Source organism: Homo sapiens, chromosome 9, assembly GCF_000001405.40.
Source record: "Homo sapiens chromosome 9, GRCh38.p14 Primary Assembly".
NCBI classification, from domain to species: Eukaryota; Metazoa; Chordata; class Mammalia; order Primates; family Hominidae; genus Homo; species Homo sapiens.
In genome coordinates, this window is record NC_000009.12 from 111,024,219 (window position 1) to 111,043,709 (window position 19,491).

The following is a 19,491-nucleotide window of genomic DNA, read 5'->3' on the forward strand; positions in this document are numbered from 1 at the left end:
ATAAATCTGAAGGGCGTAATATTAGACTGAACCGTACAAAACTACCATTTTATAGGTCAAGAGCAGTCAAATACCAGCAATCTCATATGATTCAACTTACCAATGAAGATAATGAAAATGGCAGCTAATACATTCAGTGTGCTGGGCATCATATATATACATATTTTTATATATATACACACACACATATTTATATATATATTTATATATACATATATAATTTTTATATATTTTTATATATACATAATTATATATACATACATATTTTTATATATTTATATATACATAATTATATATATTTATATATATGGGAGTGTGTGTGTGTGTATATATATACACACACATATATATACACACACACTTTAAGTTCTGGGATACATGTGCAGGTTTGTTACACAGGTATAAATGTGCCATGGTGGTTTGCTGCACCCATAAACTCGCCATCTACATTAGGTATTTCTCCTAATGTTATCCCTCCCCTTGTCCCCCACCCCCCAACAGGTCCCAGTGGGTGATGTTCCCCTCCCTGTGCCCATATGTTCTCATTGTTCAACTCCCACTTATGAGTGAGAACATGCAGTGTTAGGTTTTCTGTTCTTGTGTTAGTTTGCTGAGAATGATGGTTTCCAGCTTCATCCAAGTCCCCACAAAGGACATGAACTCACCTTTTTTATGGCTGCATAGTATTCCACAGTGTATATGTGCCACATTTTCTTTATCCAGTCTATCATTGATGGGCATTTGGGTTGGTTTCAAGTCTTTGCTATTGTAAATAGTGCTGCAATAAACATACGTGTGCATGTGTCTTTATAGTAGAATGATTTATAATCCTTTGGATATATACCCAGTAATGGGATGGCTGGGTCAAATGGTATTTCTGGTTCTAGATCCTTGAAGAATCACCACACTGTCTTCCACAATGGTTGAACTAATTTACACTCCCACCAACAGTATAAAAGCATTCCTATTTCTCCACATCCTCTCCAGCATCTGTTGATTCCTGACTTTTTAATGATTGCCATTCTAACTGGTGTGAGATGGTAGCTCATTGTGGTTTGATTTGTATTTCTCTAATGACCAGTGATGATGAGCTTTTTTTCATAAGTCTGTTGGCTGCATAAATGTCTTCTTTTGAAAAGTGTCTGTTCATATCCTTCGCCCACGTTTTGATGGAGTTCTTTTTTTCTTGTAAATTTGTTTTAAGCTCCTTGTAGATTCTGGATATTAGCCCTTTGTCAGATGAATAGATTGCAAACATTTTCTCCCACTCTGTAGGTTGCCTGTTCACTCTGATGATAGTTTCTTTTGCTGTGCAGAAGCTCTTTAGTTTAATTAGATCCCACTTGTCAATTTTGGCTTTGGTTGCAATCACTTTTGGTGTTTTAGTCATGAAGTCTTTGCCCATGCCTGTGTCCTGAATGGTATTGCTTGGGTTTTCTTTTAGGGTTTTTATGGTTTTAGTTCTTACATTTAAATCTTTAATCCACCTTCAGTTAATTTTTGTATAAGGTGTAAGGAAGGGGTCCAGTTTCACTTTTCTACATATGGCTAGCCAGTTTTCCCAACACCATTTATTAAATAGGAAATCCTTTCCCCATTGCTTGTTTTTGTCAGGTTTGTCAAAAATCAGATGGTTGTATATGTGTGGTATTATTTCTGAGGCCTCTGTTATGTTCCATTGGTCTTTATATCTGTTTTGGTACCAGTAATAGCCTTGTAGTATAGTTTGAAGTCAGGTAGTGTGATGCCTCCAGCTTTGTTCTTTTTGCTCAGGACTGTCTTGGCTATACGGGCTCTTTTTTAGTTCCATATGAAATTTGAAGTAGTTTTTTCTAATTCTGTGAAGAAAGTCAATGGTAGCTTGATGGGAATAGCATTGAATCTATAAACTACTTTGGGCAGTAGGGCCATTTTCATGATATTGATTCTTCCTATCCATAACATGGAATATTTTTCCATTCATTTGTGTCGTCTCTTGTTTCCTTGAGCACTGGTTTGTAGTTCTCCTTGAAGACATCCTTCACATCCCTTGTAAGTTGTATTCCTAAGTATTTTATTCTCTTTGTAGCAATTGTGAATGGGAGTTCATTTATGATTTGGCTCTCTGTTCGTCTATTAATGATGTATAGGAATGCTTGTGATTTTTGCACATTGATTTTGTATCCTGAGGCTTTGCTGAAGTTGCTTATCAGCTTAAGGAGATTTTGGCTGAGACGACAGGGTTTTCTAAATATACAATCATGTCATTTGCAAACAGAGACAATTTGACTTCCTCTCTTCCTGTATGAATATCCTTTATTTTTATCTCTTGCCTGATTGCCCTGGCCAGAACTTTCAATACTATGTCGAATAGGAGTGGTGAAAGAGGGCATCCTTGTTTTGTGCCAGTTTTCAAAGGGAATGCTTCCAGCTTTTACCCATTCAGTATGATATTGGCTGTGGGTCTGTCATAAATAGCTCTTATTATCTTGAGATATGTTCCATCAATACCTAGTTTATTGAGTGTTTTTAGCATGAAAGGGTGTTGAATTTTATTGAAGGCCTTTTCTGCATCTATTGAGATAATCATGTGGTTTTTGTCATTGGTTCTGTTTATGCGATGGATTACGTTTATTGATTTGTATACACCGAACCTGCTTTGCATCCCAGGGATGAAGCCAACTTGATTGTGGTGGATAAGCTTTTTAATGTGCTGCTGGATTCAGTTTGCCAGTATTTTATTGAGGATTTTCGCATCAATGTTCATCAGGGATATTGGCCTGAAATTTTCTTTTTTTGTTGTGTCTCTGCCAGGTTTTAGTATCAGGATGATGCTGGCCTCATAAAATGGACTAGGGAGGAGTCCCTCTTTTTCTATTATTTGGAATAGTTTCAGAAGGAATGGTACCAGCTCCTCTTTGTAACTTTGGTGGAATGCAGTTGTGAATCTGTCTGGTCCTGGGCTTTTTTTGGTTGGTAGGCTATTAATTACTGCCTCAATTTCAGAACGCTCCACCCCAAATCAACAGGCCAGGTGCGGCGTTCATGCCTGCAATCCCAACAGTTTGGGAAGTCAAGGTGAGAGTTCAAGACTAGCCTGGGTAATAAAGCAAGACCCTGTCTCTACCCAAAAAATAAATAAATAAATAAATAAATAACCAAACATGGTGGCATGTGCTCACAGTCCCAGCTACTCAGGAAGCTGAAGCAAGAGGATGGTTTGAGCCCAGGAGTTTGAGGCCACAGTGAGCTATGACTGAGCAACTGAACTCCAGCCTGGGTGACAGAACAAGACATGGTCTTTAAGAAACAAAACAAGAAAAATATTTTGGGGAAACAGCAGAAAATAAAAATACAATTTTTTTTAAGTCCTGTCCTCATCTAAGAAGTCAGAAGAAAAGTGCAATGGAGAAGAAAATATCAGGCAAGCTGGGTAGACAGGAAAGGTCACACAATTTTAAATGTAGTGATAGAAAGCCTTAACTCAAAGTTGACCTTTGAGTTAAGACATGAAAATAATGAGAGCAGGCATGTGGATACCTAGGAAAGAACATCCTAGGCAGAAGGACAAAGACCAGGAAACCACAGTCCACTGTGTGGATAAGCTCAAAAATGGAGATCATTTAGAGTAAGGATAGAACTCTGGGAACATCAACACTGAAATATGGGCAGAGAAGCACAAGTCCTCAAAAAAAAAAAAAAAAAAAAAAAAAAGAAGCAAGCGGAGAAAGGGAATGACTAAACATAATTAGGTATGTTTAATCAGTCACACACACATTAAATAGTGTGACTAATATGTAGTCATTAGAAATTAAAAATGAAAGATTTTAATGGCCTGTGTACATACTTATGATACAAAGGAGAATGCTGTTAAATATTCCGTAAAAGCAAATATTTTTAAAACTGCAAGAAATTATCCCAAAATGGAATAAGAATTTTTTTTTTTTTTTTGAGGCAGAATCTCACTCTGTCACCCAGGCTGGAGTGCAGTGGCACAAACTCTGCTCACTGCAACCTTAGCCTCCTGGGTTCAAGAGAGCACATCCAGCTAATTTTTGTATTTTTAGTAGAGACAGGGTTTTATCATGTTGGCCAGGCTGGTCTTGAACTCCTGACCTCAAGTGATCTGCCCACCTTGGCCTCCCAAAGTGATGGGATTTCCAGCATGAGCCACCATGCCTAGCAAGAAAGTCAATCTTAAGTGATGGAACTACACATGAATCCCTGTACATTCCACATATTTTAAAATGAGCATATACTGTTTTTTCCTATCAAATTGAAATGAGTATAATTTAAAAGAATCATAATGGCTTAGAAAAAAGAAAACTAAGAATAAACTTGTCTTTTTTCTATCTTGCATGCAAAAAGGCATGCCAATAAAATTATCTAAGGTGAAAATAAATTCTTAATTAGAAAAAGACTTTTTTTTTTTTTTACCAAGTAAAGGACAAACTTGTACTGCATCCTACTTTTTAGTAGGCAACTAAAGCTTAAAATTATTTGATCAGACTTTTAAAACCTCTATGACAAACCTTTACGAGTTTCTCAAAGCGTGGTCTTTAGGCTACTGAAATTTCCAAAGTTCTTCTGGAAGGTTTACCTTTTATATGACAGCAATATGAGACTCACTGCCACTAGTCCTACAGTAAATTAAAACTATATCTGCAACTTCCCCCAGACGTCAAATCACCATCTAATTATTGTAAGGATTTTTTTCCAGATAACAATAGCTGGAATGGGGTGTTTCAGGGATTTTTTGTTCACCCCAGTGGGTATTGTTGAAATTTGCACCATTTCCTTCCTATCTCCCCAGGACCACCTATCAAGAGAAGCCATAGTAAACGCTCAACAAATGCTTGATAACCGATAAAACTACTTTAATCTGCTAAAGAAAAATAACCTAAAGAATTGAAATAAGCCTTGTCCTTGTTAAAATATATCAATCTTTTCACTCTAAAAGTGCTCTCCAGCTTATCACACACATTTTACTGGCATTTACTTCTACATTTAGCAATTATGCCTGAATACTGCCAACTGACTTCTCAGCTAAACTTCAAACTCAAATTGCCAGCCACCAGCTGAAAATCTCTGCCTGCATGGTTTTAGACATGTCTAAAACTAACAAGCCTCACTGCAACAATCATCATGCTCTCGTGTCCTGTCTGGTAATGGCATCAACATGCCCTTTTTTGTCCACAGTAGTCTCCAGTACCCTTCTACCTCCACAAGCTTCGAGATTGGTCCCACCACTTCCTGCCACAAACCGTCAATTTCAGGCACTCCTCCCCAAGCCTGTCACTCACTGGGTCTTCCTCATTACTCTTCTGCATGGAATGAGCTCCACAGACCATTGAGGCTGGCATCCTGCTGCAAGTCATTTCCCTCCTCTAAGGCTGACTTACCCTCTCCATCCTCAGATATGCAGACAGCTCTTTGTTTGAAACTTGGTTTACCGTATTCATCACTACCTACCTGATCTTAATCATTTGAGTCCATATCGCTCCATGTTCATGAGCTACTCAAGAGCGGGGACCGTACTTTCTTAATTTTTTTTTAATTTTAGTGTCCTCAGGCCAGGCACGGTGGCTTGGGCCTGTAAACCCAGCACTTTGAGAGGCCGAGGCGGGTGGTTCACTTGAGGCCAGGAGTTCAAGACCAGCCTGGCCAACACAGTGAAACCCCATCTCTACCAAAAAATACAAAAAAAATTAGCCAGGCATGGTGGTGCACGCCTGTGGTCCCAGCTACTTGGAAGGCTGAGGCAAGAGAATTGCTTGAACCCAGGAGGCAGTGAGCCAAGATCGTGCCATTGCACTCCAGCCTGGGCAATAAAGTGAGGCTCTGCCTCAAAAAAAAAAAAAAAAAAAAAAAAATTTAGTGTCCTCAGCCAAACGTAAGGACACAGAAGTTCTCCAAGATATCAGCTGCATGAAACTAAACTGACAGCGTCTCAAAGTGACCAGAGAACAGATTGTGCTAAATCTGGAAAAGTCAGTCATCTTGCCCTAGCCTTTGAACCTTTACTTTTCTGTGCCTAGTCAGAAAGTAAAGCAAGCAGTTCTCTGTGGAACTACAATAAATAGTGGGTACAGAATGAATGCCTCACTTAGTTGACAATAATCCTTCTCCCCACAATCGTAGTCCAAGAAGGCAAAGCATCCCCTTAACAAAAGGCAATTCTGTTTCAGTTGTGTTATTCTCTTAGTAAGAACACACCATCCTTATCATCTGCTGATTACAGACTTCCAAGGCGGGGGTCCTCACTGAATACTCCTACAATGAAACCTGCCTATAATGAGTAACTCTACCTATCTTCTCTGCTCCAGAAGTGGTTGAAAGGCCTTTCATTCAGGCCTTGTTTTCTACCTAACAAAAGGTTCACAGATGCCAAACACGTGCTCCAAAATGCCCCTCCTCCCGTCGTCTGAGACCCAGATGAAGCAGGGTCCTTGTGGCAATAATATTCTCTGCAATGCTTTTTGTCGTCTTGGTTGTCACACAGCTGGAAATAGTTTTCTTATTCCCGTTTACAATAGCCAGACATTCATTATCACTCTGACAAGAACTCTTGAGTGATGTCATGCTGCACATGCTGCACCAGTTCAAGAAGGGCCCATGCAGGCTCTTCCAGCTTCAAACTTCTCACTCTTGATGGCAGCCTCAAGTATAGCCTCTCTAAAGCAAAAGAAAATGGAGGCAGGCACAGACAGATACACACACAAACATACATATGAGTATGTATAAACATATCCACACTTATCCCACACACACATAAATATACATAAATATTAATTTTTGTAGGTTTGTATAAGTAAAAGGACAACTATGGAAGGCTATGGAACAAACTGATATCAGATGGGTAAGGTTAAAGTGGCAGAGAGAGATTTTTACATTTACTTTAGACACATCTATAGTGTTTGAATCATTGCAAAAAAAAATTTTGTAAATGAATGCAGCTACCCTCTCCTGGTTGGGATGCATTTTATTGTGTTTGTATCCCTGAGTGACTTCAAGATCATAAGTGAAATACATTAGTGAAGCAAAGCACCATGACAGGGTGACTTCAAAATAAGTATTAGCCAGATGCGGTGGCTCACAGCTGTCATCCCAACACTTTGGGAGGCCAAGGTGAGAGGATCCCTTGAGCCCAGGAGTTTGAGAACAGCCTGGGTAATGTAGTGAGAGCCCATTTCTTTAAAAAAAAAAAAAGAAAAAAAAAAAGAAAAGAAAAAGAAAGAAGAAGAAAGAAAGAAAAAGAAAAAAAATAGCCAGGCATAGCGGCACACACCTGCGGTCCCAGCTACTTGGAAGGCTGTAGTGGGAGAATAGCTTGAGCCCAGGAGGTCAAAGCTGCCGTGAGCCAGGATTATGCCACTGCACTCCAAGACCCTATCTCAAATAAATAAAAAATAAGTCTGACTTTCTACAGGCACTAGGTTTGAATTATTCTAGAAAGCAAACTATATACTGAGCAAAGAATCTCAAACACAAGTTGGGTTAAAAGTAAGAATAGGGAAAATGAGATGGAAGCAAGGCAGGGCTACAGATAAAACACAGCTATGTCTATCTCTAGACTTTAAAACAGATAAATCCTAGCAAAATATTTCAAGCATATAAAATGAAAAGGAGATTACCGGGCTCTGTGGTCTCCTTCCTTAAAAGGGAAAGGCCAACTCACCTCAAAGTATTGAGACTACCTTGGAGAAAATGTTCCTAAAATGGAAGAATAACAAGATACATATGCCTGAGTTTGAAGGCATTCTAAAAGAACTTCTCTTACTAATGTCATATGATAGAGGGCAAGCTCCATGAGAGAAGGGGTCTGTCCACATCTTGTTTCCTGCAGTGCTATCTTCCCAGTACAGGGTGGGTACAAATGCCTACTGAATATGGAAGAAAGAGTAATATAAAGGATTAAGGAACACATAGTAAATGAAAACTAGAATTACCAACCAGATATCAGTTCTTATTCTTATTTTCCAGATGTAAAAAGAGAGGCACTTTGACCTACCCAGGAGTAGCGAAACTGGAGATAGAAAGCCTCTTGATCCCTTTTTTACCTCTTCTAGGCTTGGTTTATCTCCCAGGATCCTTCCAGATCCTAACCTTCCAGGAGCATTCCCTGACCTCCACCACCTCACCGCTGAGGGTCAAGTGCCCCCGCTTGGTGCTCCCGCAAAGTCTTCTCTCTCATAACACTTGTTACACTGAATTGTAATTATCTGTTAATCGTGTGTAAGCTCCTCCTGGAGGGTGGGAATCCTGCCTTATTCACACTCACCCCTAGTAAAACTAGCACAAAGCCTGGTATATAGCAGGCAGTCAGTTAAGTGCTCCTGAGATGGGGGGAAAAAAAGTTTCCTCTGCCCCTGAACCATTTCTCCCTCCAAAGACCCAGGAATATCCTTCAATTAGAGCAGAATTTCAGAATCAGGGCAGTTAAGGGTTGGTCAAAGAGAACCACCTAGGCATAGGGGAAGAAAATTTAGTAGAACAGATCGATATAAAGTCTAATCTAGAGCATTGTTTAGACACATAAGTTAATGAATATAGGGAAACTTGCTATAACAGGAATGGTTCACAGTAGCAATCTCAGCATAGCAAATCCTAAACTCTAAGAGACATAGCACACATAATGGCCATAATGAACAAAATTTCCTTCAACCAACAGCTGGAAATCCCACCCATGGCCAGGTATTATTAGTCAAAATTTTTTCTTTTAGAGAAAAATGCTGGTTTTGAAAACATTTTCCTTTATTTTCATAATACAACAAACACAGCTTGCCCTGCCTCATGCAGGCTTATTGCACGTTTGTTTTAGCACTGGACTAAAGTTAAGGGTCTGCCCTGTCATTATATCACTTTTTTAAAACAGTATCACAAAAATAAAATAAATTATAACCTAAATCCATGAATGTAGTAAAATAGTTCTCTTTCATTTCTGGAAAAAAATAATTACAATTTTACATGGACTTCAGGGTTAAAGTTTCTATAGCACTGATTAGATGACAGGGACATGCAAGTATTAAGACAATATTCTTTGGCCCAGCCCCACAAGTTGATAATACAACAACAACACTACTTTGAAATCATACTAACCTGCTAAAAAATGCCAAAGAGTTTAAATAAAATCATCACCACCACCATGCCACCCCTCCTCCTCTCCTACCAAAAATGTATCCTAAAATAAAGTATACTAACCTTGGGCTTCTCCAACTTAATTAACTTAATTTATTAAACATGCCAAACATAAGTTCCCTTGCAGAAGATAAAACAAACTGCTGGGAAGATCATTCATTAAATTGAATTCACAAGGTAATTGAAAGAAATTCAGCCACCTTCTTTTTCTTTTTCTTTTTCTTAAGTTTTTTGAGATGGAGTCTCACTCTGTCTGCCCAGGCTGGAGTGCAATGGCACAATCTTGGCTCACTGCAACCTCTCCCTCCTGGGTTCAAGTGATTCTTCTGCCTCAGCCTCCTGAGTAGCTGGGATTACAGGCGCCCAGCATCACACCTGGCTAATTTTTTGTATTTTTAGTAGAGACAGGGTTTCACCATGTTAGCCAGGCTGGTCTCAAACTCTTGACCTCAGGTGATCCACCCGCCTCAGCCTCCCAAAGTGCTGGGATTACAGGCATGAGCCGCCGTGCCCAGCCTCTTCTTTTTCCTGTCTGTCTCCTGGGTACCCTAGCATCTCCAGATTCAACAGCAATTCAAAGACATCCAAGTCAGTTCCACCTCTGACATGCAACTGAAAACCAGTGTATATCCTCCTGTGACACAGAGGTACTGGGGAGCAAGTGTGAACCTATAAAGCTCCTGAATACCTCTCCCAAATGGATCCCACAGAGTGAAGATAATGAGTTAAATGCTTTAGCTCTAGGGATTTAAAATATATAGAAAGCAAGTTACTTCTACTGGAAGTTAAACTTAAAGAATTCTCATGGTTATGTCATCTCTCACTGCAGTACCGAGTGTGCTACTTGGCTTCCCTCTCTCCTTCCATCTACTGCCTTGCCCTATCATTTACAGAGGCATTAATGCCGGTTTCAAACTAATAATAATTCTTTTTCTTCTGTGCTGCAAATACCCAATCACTGTGGTTAAATACCATGTATAACATAAACAGGGTCAAGAATGCCAGCTGCCAGAAGAGTCATGTTTAAATTAGCATTAACCAGCAAGCCCTTCCCTAAACAAAAAAGAGAGGGGAAAAAAAATGTTTTCTTGGACAGCTCTGTGCCTGCAGAATGACTTCAACCCCACATGTTCAAAAGGCTCCACAAGGTCCAGCTATAACACAATAGCATCATTAATTTTTACTAAATTAAATTTCTCAAAAGTATAAAGCACTATCAATTTGCGGAGAGTAGGGAGGAAGAAACTACTTATTAGTTTATTCTACAACCTTTATATAATTTGAGTAAACAGGCAATAGTGTCTTAAAACGTAGCAGCCATAAGTTACACGGATTGTAATGGAATAAAAGCCCAGTCCTCCATCCATCATCGCACCCCTCACTCTGCCCCAATATGTGTTACTCAGTGTCTTTCCACATCTTGAGGTTATGTAATACTTCCTCCTTGCCTCCCTATCCCCATGTAGCATAACTCCTTAAAATAACATCAGAGGTCCCCCACAATTTGTCCCTTCGTAACTTTCCAGCCTTCATCACCCCACACTCTCACTTTGTCTTCATTCCCCCACCATTCATCTTTTAAAAGATATGTTATTCTTCAAGCCACATTTATAAATTCGTCCCCTGAATCAAAACGTAATTCTCCATTCCCTGGCATGCCAAAGTTCTTGGACTCTACAGCTACCACCCAGTTACACAACACTGCATATACATATTCGGTATGAACCGTGAGGCTCACTGCATCTTTCCCCCCTGTGTTGCAGTTCTTTCTGGAGCTTCCTTTTCACCATCCTTGCATCTACCACATGGAAGGAATTCAATAATTGTTTGCTGAAATAGAATTACCTCCTTTTCTCTCAACTTTCTAAGACATCCATAATAGTTTTCCCTAAGATTTTTTTTTTTAAGAGACAGAGTCTCTCTGTCACCCAGGCTGTAGTGCAATGGCACAATCACAGCTCACTGCAGCCTTGAATCCTGGGCTGAAGCCATCCTCCCTCCTCCGCCTCCCAAGTAGCTGAGACTACACGCACATGCCACCATACCCAGCTAATGTTTCTATTTTTTTTATAGAGACAGAGTCTCACTATGTTGCCCAGGTTGGTCTCAAACTCCTGGCTTCAAGCGATCGTCCTGCCTCAGCCTCCCAAAGTGTTGAGATTACAGGCATAAGCCACCACACCTGGCCCGGGATATTTAAATAAGAGGGTAACATGATATGTAAAAATAAGAAACCAAACAGTAGTATGATGCTGACTTAAGGCCAGAGAAGACTATTGGACTTTAAACCAAGAGCTTATGTTTAAGTTTTTATTACATCACAGTTCAGCTTTTACAATAAATAATGTTCCTCAAGGGTGTAGGCATATTGATACCAAAACATCAAAGAAAAGGAAGACAGGCCACACATCAAACACAGACATTAAAATCTTGACCTCAAACTAAATTCTGAAAGTTCTGTTATCTGCTGAATACTTGGAGCTTCCCAGTGAAAATGATACAGTGTATTCTGCCCAGATTGCAACTTTCCATACTAAGCATTTGAAATGATTCTTGGCCCTAAATATCACTTACTTCAGACTGAATGTCACTGTGTATCAAAAACACTGAGCAAGTGAGATTTTTATTCTTTGAACGTTCCAGTAGGTCACTAATGGAATAGATTCAGTAAAACCTTGCAGCCTACGGTATAATTTGAAACAACAAAAAAATCAAATCACTTTTTGGAAAATATTAGGTTTGAACAAAAATAGAAGTTTCGAAAGGGCTGCCACTTACATTCTTACCTCTGTTAGTTCTTTCCCATCACTCACAGGGAGACTGAAATCCATGCTGAGTGCCCACAGACCTGGGCAGGAGCTGTTCCCTTGAGAGACAATGATGCAAATGAGTCAAGTGATGCCTAGTAGAAGTCAGACTGCAAGGATCACCTTGACCTCACCCTAGTGCATTAGCTAAGCAAACTCACAAGCTTTAAATAATAAAGGTAACAAGAGATTGATCTGAGGTGGGGGAAGTATTATTGAGTCCCTTGAGGAAAGGAAAAAAAAAAAAAAAAGAGGAAATGAGCTCCCAGCTCAAGAATTTTTCTCCTCCAAGCATCCTCTGTTGCTTGTTTTCTTCCATCTTCCTGGCCCTCTGGACCTCTCACTTCCCCCTCCTACCTTTTCCTACTGCTCTAACACAATAAGATAACCTCCCACCGGTTTCTCGCTATTTGGGAAGCTGGAAGGAACAGCAACGATCACCAACCCCTTCCATTTTCCGGATGGGGAGACGGAGACCAGGATCTGAGCTGACCCGACTGGCTGAGGTCGCGCCGCTAGGGGACGTGGTGTACCTTGCGGGCTCGGATGATGACAACCCAGCCTTCCCTCCTCGCTCCTCGCCCGTGCCTTCCTGCCTCAAGCTACCTCCTTCTCTTGCCACTTGGTGTTTTTATCCTCAAATCAGACAAGTATCAAGAAAAAAATGCAACCTTAATATACTTACAATGCTGATTATTATTCATAATTTTGCATTTGGGGCAATTATACTCGCTCCTACTGGGATATGGAAATCAAGGGCAGAAAGAACTAGGTGACATTCTACCTCCCTGTGTATTTTAATGATGTTTAGTTTGGTTCAAATAACCATACCTCTAAAATACACCCTTTTTCCTTGGGACCCACTCTTCTATCCGGCAAGGGAATAACTTCTTAAAAAACTTCGCATTTTCCAAGTGTACAGTCTCCCCTTAACCAGAACTGCAGACTCTGAATCACAGACCTCTGGCTTACCAATTATGCTTAGCTGAGCAAACACACTTATGCAAATACGTGAAAAACAAACTGTTAGAGCCTGAAGGAATAGAGGATTTCGCTGTGATCATCAATATGTGATCATCACATTTTCAATATTTATGTTTACCAATATCTATCTAACCCCATAGGAAACGACGCGTCCATAGTGAAACAAGCCAGCACCCACATTTATGAAAAAATCCACGGATTTCAACAAAAATGAAGAGAGGAGAGCAGAAGCGGAGAGCCACAACCTCAGGCCCCAGACAGCAGGCAGCAGCAAGTCCTGAATGCCTTCACTCTTAACATTGCAAAGACCAAATGGCAGCAAAGAAAAACAAGAATAAACTTTAAATCCATTCACCACAAAGGAGTCCTACGCAAGTCAAAGGAGCCGTCGATTTCAAAACCATCAACTTTCAAAGCCAGGTCCCTCCCTTGCCTTACAACCTCCTGTTACTTGTTAAGCACGTTTGTTAGGCGGCTGGACAGAAACTTAGTTAAAAGTCCTCAGCCCGGTGGTGGGGGACAACCGAGTCGTCAGTGGGAAGCGAGAGGTGCGGAGCCCCAGGGGCGCAGGGACCCCTCGGAGGTGCAAGTCCAGCGGGACGAGGTTTTGGGAGAATTTCGAGGGCCCCTCGCAAGCCCTCCCGCGCACCCACCCCGACCCAGGTAACCGGAGGCCACCTACGTGTCACTGGGCGGGCCCCGGGGCGCACTGACCTGGCGCGGGACAGGAGGGCCGGCGGCCCGGGCGGCTGCGGCAACTTCCCTCCAGGGGCTCGGTCCGCCGCTGGGTGCGGGAGGCCAGGGGAGCCTCGCCTCCTGCAGGCCGGCTCGCAAGAACGCACGGCCACCCACCCGCGCCGCGGCCCACAGCGCGCACCCACACTCTCACTGGCACTCGCACGCGCGCCCCCAACCACAAAGCCCGTCCGCGGCGGGACAGTGTGAGCCCAGCGCGCCGTGTGGCGGGCCGAGCAGTCGCCGCGGCCTCTGGCTTCGCGCCCAGGGGGCGCCGTCCCCACACGCCGCGCCGGCCCCCTTACCTGCGCTCGCTGCCGCCGCGCGTCCCTCTCCTGCCGCCCCCGGGCTGGCTTCAGGCCGCGCGCCCAGTCCCGGCGGCCCCCGCCCCACCGCCAGCCGAGCCCGGCCCTCCGCCCGCCCCTCGGCAGTCGCCCAGAGCGGGGCCGCCCCCTGCGCCCACCCCGCCGGGGTCCCGTGCTCGGCCGGGCGGCGGGGAGGGCTCCGCGGCTCCGGGCCCTGGCCGCCCCAGATCCGGCCCGCGCTCCGCAGCGGGGCTGGAGACGGAGTCGCCACTCAGGGAGCGTCAGCCGCCAGTCGGCCCCTACTGCCCGGCTTTGGCGCGCTGGCAGGAGGAGGGGGCGCAGAGGGAGGGCCAGAGGAGCAGCGCCGACGCCAGCCTCCTCTCTTCCTCCGCCTTCCTTCTTTTCTGCTTGTTCCACGTAGCACAAGTCAGCAACACCCGAACCCCCAGAGTCCGCCCTCCCCGCTCCCAAGCTGGACCCCTTACCTGGTGTGGCGCCCCCAGCGCCCCTGACCTCTGCGCCCCCTCCTCCATTCATTGGCTCGACAGCCCACGGTGGTGGCAGGGCCGGGGCTGGGGGGTGGCCTTAGCCTCCCATTCATTATCTCAGCAGCCTCCCCCGCCCCGCCCCCGAGTCGACACACCCGCAGCGGGAGACCCGTGGCCGCCAGCTCGGGTCCCACCCCCGCCCCTCCTGCGCTTACCCCAGCGCCGGACAGCTGGCAGGACTCCGGTGGACGCCCCGGCACGGGGCATTTTCACGTTGTCGCTCTCCTCTTCCCACTCGAAAAGCTCTGGAAAACATCGCGGGGCCCGCAAAACCCCGGAAATGTGGCCTCTCTTTCGTGGCTCACTTTCTAAACTTTCCAGAAGGCGCAAAGTTTCTCCCAGCGCCGCCCTGCACTGGAGGCTGCGAAGAACGCAGAAGCGGCTTTGCTGCTAGGAAGGTGCATACGTTTCTAGTTCTGATTTTTCACTTCACTGGATCTGTAAACGAAAGCAAGTGTGTCTGCTCCCCTAGTTCTCCATATCCACGATTATAAATTTCTCTTCCGCTTTCCCAGTGTAGCTTTGCAAGTGTAAACTATCAATTTTAGTGAGAGTAATTAAGGGCGGGGACTGCACACCTGGAGGTGTGGGTGGGAGCGGCGCGGGACTAAGGCCTAGGGAACATTCTCAGGAGAGTGGCAGCCACAGGGATTCGCCCAGGTCTTATAACACACCCACTCGATGGGGTCTCCCTAGCCACGCCACCTCACAACACCCATCTCCCACTTCTGGCTTCCCAGGATTTCCGGAGTGATCACAATTATCGGCCTCTCGCTCCACAGCTAAGGCCACCGCATATCAAAAATAGCAGCGTGTGAGTAAAAGTTTCATGAGCCCTCGCCTTGAAATGGCACAGAGGACACAGCACACCAGCAGTAAGGCATGGGGACTCGGCAGGACTGATCTGATTGAGAGAAACGCAGGACAGCGAGGCGGGGCTATGTTGGTGGTGGCCACCAGGTAACCGTGGGCTTTGCAGAAGAGAAAGGTCACTGCAAACCGTAGCTGGACGGAAACTTTTCAAGCCTCAAGTGAGTTATGCTGTGACGGGACCATGACCATCTCCCACCGGTGACTGCTTAGAACCTTGACCAAGCTCGTGTGGTTTTCACAGGATGCTCAGGGCTGAGTCCTGGCTGTAAATAATTTACTATCTAAAGCTGTTTCCTTTTAAAAACAATGGTTCTAATCTTTTTTTTAAAAAAAATCATTCAAATCTTTTTTAAAAATCCACTTTAAATAACTTTGCTTTCTATACCTTTCCTACGAATATATGATTTATTTTATAACCTACTATGTGAAAAAATTGAAATTTTAGTACATGCACAGTGCTAATATGTTCATGCACAATGCTACTTATGTTTGTGTACGGCATGCAGAAATGTGTATAGATATGTATACCCATGAATACAAACCACTCCCTTATCTCACAAATAATCATAGGGGTTGATACCAAACTATAAGAAATATTATATTGGGATGAATAGGCAAATGTTCACTATAAAATCTCAGTATCATAAAAAGTATATATTGGTAAGAAAAAAATATACTCGAAAGAGGTTTCCATATATTTTTAACCATAGCTCTACTCAAGTCAAAAAATCACTTATTAGCTAATTTTCCCGTCTCTTTCTTCCTATACACTGTACTTACTATCAGATTTCTTAACACCAATACTTCTATATCTAATATAAAGACATTTTAAAATTAATTATTTCCATGTTTAGCCTTTCCCCATAAATCAAAGGTAAAGTAAAAGGAGTTTCTTACCTACCACTCAACTTGAATATTTTTAATATGTTGATTTTGTCTCTTACCTTCTTAAGGAATACAGTTGCTTCTGTTTTGACTATCTTAACTACTCTGTGGCCCCTTCTAACATCAAATTGGGAGGCCTGTCCGTACAAGACATGTGTATTCAACAGTAAGTTATTTGCTATAAAACACTTCATTTCCTCTTTATTTGGTCTGCTGTGGCCTGAAATGAAATATAGAACAAACTGAAAGGTCTGCCTGGACAGACCTGTCTTCCTGACAAGCGTGGACCTGTCTAAATGAGACAGCTTCTGCAGCCAGCTTTAGATCGATAACTCTAAAATTAAATGTAGGTATGTACATCCAGTAGAAAAGGACAGAGAAAATGAAATACAATACAGAATTCAGTTCAGCATCTAGATTAATCCATAAAACCTAGCTCATTATGTTCCAAATGAGCTACTTTTCTCATCTGTAAAATGGAATAATGGTACCAGTGCAGTCTTTTATATGGTTCCAAGTTGTCTTTTATCAAAGTAAAATAATATATTTGGGTGGGCTTCTGAAGACACTAACATTGATGATGAGGTTTCAACAGGAACAAAGAATACCTTGATAAATTTTCTTGAATGTTTTCTCCTGTCTGTAGTCCTCTTGTCATTCAGACATTCCCTTTCTTGGAGAGTCATCCTGATGCTTTCTGTCCTAACCTTTCTCTCCTCCCCTCTGCCAAGCAGTATTTCTTTAGATTTGTTTCTTCAAATGACTTCAGCAGAGGTAAAGACCCAAAGACAGCTGGCGCTGTCAAACATGACAAAAAATATTCTTAGCCACAGTGGCTCATGCTTGTAATCCCAGCATTTTGGGAGGCTGAGGCGAGAGGAGCGCTTGAGCCCAGGAGTTCGAAGCTGCAGTGAGCTGCCATTGTGCCACTGCACTCCAGCCTGGGCAACAGCCAGGCCCTGTCTCTTAAAAAGTTTTAAAATTTTTAAATATATATGTATGTTCAGCAAAATGAAGCCAGGCATGGTGGCTCACACCTGTAATCCCAGCACCTTGGGAGGCCAAGGTGGGCAGATCGCTTGAGGCCAAGAGTTTGAGACCAGCCTGGCCAACATGTCTGTCTCTACTAAAACCCTGTCTCTACTAAAAATATAAAAATTAGCCGGCATGGTGGTGCATGCCTGTAGTCCCAGCTGTTGGGAGGCTGAGGCATAAGAATCTCTTGAACTTGGGAGAGAGAGGTTGCAGTGAGCCAAGATTGCACCACTGCACTCCAGCCTGGGCAACAGAACAAGACTGTGTCTCAGAAAAAGTTCAGCAAAATGAAACATTGTGATGGATATTTCAAGTTCAGGTTTTACATTAATATCTGGAAGGACACCATAGACTTTGTCAGACTATTGATATAAGCTAGTGATCCAAGGACTATAATTTGAGAAGCATTTCGGGTGGAAAAATTGGCTGTCACTGCCTTTGGCACTATTATTTGTTCAAAAGGTTCCCCAGTCATGGCACACTCATGGAAGAGTTCTCTCTTCCTCCCTCTGTTCGCTTCCCTCTGGCAAAAAGCTTTTGAAATTTTCTGTTCGAGAGTAATCAAAACTATCAGCAAAACGATCTGTTGGAAACTTTCCCTCCAGTCTATTAAGGTAGAGACTGATTCAAAGACAGTATTTTGGTGAAACAATACCCTGAGAGAACTCAGCCTTTTCCGGAAAGTTTTGCAGATGATGCCTCCAGGCATAGTTTTCTTCCTCCTTGAAATGGGGTATTTGTGCCTCTCCAGTGTTTTTCCCCTTGGCTAGGGGGGAAAAAAAAGCATTCTCCTTAGGAAACCTTTCTATTTTAAAAGTCCAGCGGCAAAGGTGGGTGGGGCAGCCCAATTTAGTAAAAAGTAATAATAATAACACTCTTCAGAGTGCAGGTGGCATAAGGAGATTCCAAGAATGGAGAGAATTTGGGTTTGCATGCAGCAGCCTCCTGCAAGGACTAGGCTGCAATGAAAGCCCCAAACAGAGTAACTCTGTGTTCACCTTTTTCTTATCACATACATCTGCATGAATACTCTGGGTAACATCAGAAGTAGGTCAAGGCTAGCAGATCCTTTCTCTGTAGTCTCCCTCATCCAAAATAAAAAAGGCTTAGATCTAAAACAGAGTGAAGAAAGACAAGGAAAAGGAAAAAAATATATGTGTGTTATATATACAACTATAAAGCTAAAAATGGATCTGGATACAAAGAAATCATAGAAAGGGTCAACAAAACAAAAACCTAGTTCTATAGAACAATAGCAAGATAGATAAATTTCTGGTAAAATTGACAATGAAAAAAGAGAAAAGAAGGCTATGAATATGGAGATTATAATTACAGTTTCAGTAGAATTTTTTAAATCCTAAGAATACTATGAACATTAAAAAACTTGGCTGAAATACTTTCTTCAATAAATTAATTTTTAATTCAATAAAAGATGAAAATTAAAATAATACATGATTTTACATTTTCCTTTGTTGACAAAGATTTCTTTTAAATAATGATACTTGAAAAATAGGTGTAAACTCATGCAAACTCTCTGTAATGTAATTTAGCAAAACAGTACAGTTACATTTTGTATGATTTTAATTGAAGTACATTTATTTAAGACGGAGTTTCACTCTTGTTGTCCAGGCTGCAATGGCACAATCTTGGCTCACCACAACCTCCACCTCCTGGGTTCAAGTGATTCTCCTGCCTCAGCCTCCCGAGTAGCTGGCATTACAGGCGTGCGCTACCATGCCCAGCTAATTTTGTATTTTTAGTAGAAACGGGGTTTCTCCATGTTGGTCAGGCTGGTCTCGAACTCCCGATCTCAGGTGATCTGCCCACCTCGGCCTCCCAAAATGCTGGGATTACAGGCATGAGCCACGGCACCTGGCCAAAGTACATTTAAATGTATGATAAACACATCAAGAAAATTTTACTTTATGTGCAAAATTTTTAAATAATACAAAGCTCAGTATTTTTAAAACTTGAAAAACAGCAAAATTACAGAGCTGAAATACTTTTTAATAAATTGTAAAATTGCATTAATTCAAAAATAATACAAATGTATTTAAAACCATTAAATAATTTAAATTCTTATTTCTAAATAAATATGCAAAAAAGTTCAAAGTTTTGGTTGGTAAGACTTACCAAATCTTCATGGACAAATAACCTCTATTCAAATGGTTGCAAAGCATAGAAAAAGAAAAAAAGCACCCC

General features: G+C 42.3%; 1 protein-coding gene and 1 long non-coding RNA gene across 75 annotated transcripts in view, besides 1 other annotated feature; one reads left to right on the forward strand and one right to left on the reverse strand.

The window, feature by feature from the left end:
• LPAR1 (lysophosphatidic acid receptor 1) overlaps positions 1–14,780 on the reverse strand; it is a 165,736-nt gene extending 150,956 nt beyond the window's left edge. For 9 of the 74 annotated variants that reach the window (NM_001387485.1, NM_001351403.2, NM_001387481.1 and 6 more), the window contains exon 1: positions 14,434–14,522. The gene's annotated coding sequence lies outside the window, so the exon portion shown is untranslated. Of the gene's footprint in view, positions 1–11,691; positions 11,800–11,895; positions 11,984–12,369; positions 12,563–13,263; positions 13,412–13,622; positions 13,870–13,948; positions 14,253–14,433; positions 14,523–14,651 lie in introns of those variants that run through there. The other 65 variants (NM_001387516.1, NM_001387497.1, NM_001351406.2 and 62 more) reach the window with 19 other exon arrangements.
• LOC124902248 (uncharacterized) lies at positions 12,710–18,741 on the forward strand. The gene is made up of 2 exons (XR_007061732.1): positions 12,710–13,571; positions 15,237–18,741. It is a non-coding gene; the product is annotated as an uncharacterized LOC124902248 (long non-coding RNA).
• Positions 13,682–14,021: a silencer, noted in NCBI's record as "silent region_20176". NCBI's record gives its function as "represses an Ori minimal core promoter by ATAC-STARR-seq in GM12878 lymphoblastoid cells {active_cell/tissue: GM12878}" and the evidence as "EXISTENCE:reporter gene assay evidence [ECO:0000049][PMID:35858748]".
• Positions 18,742–19,491: the final 750 nt, after the last annotated feature.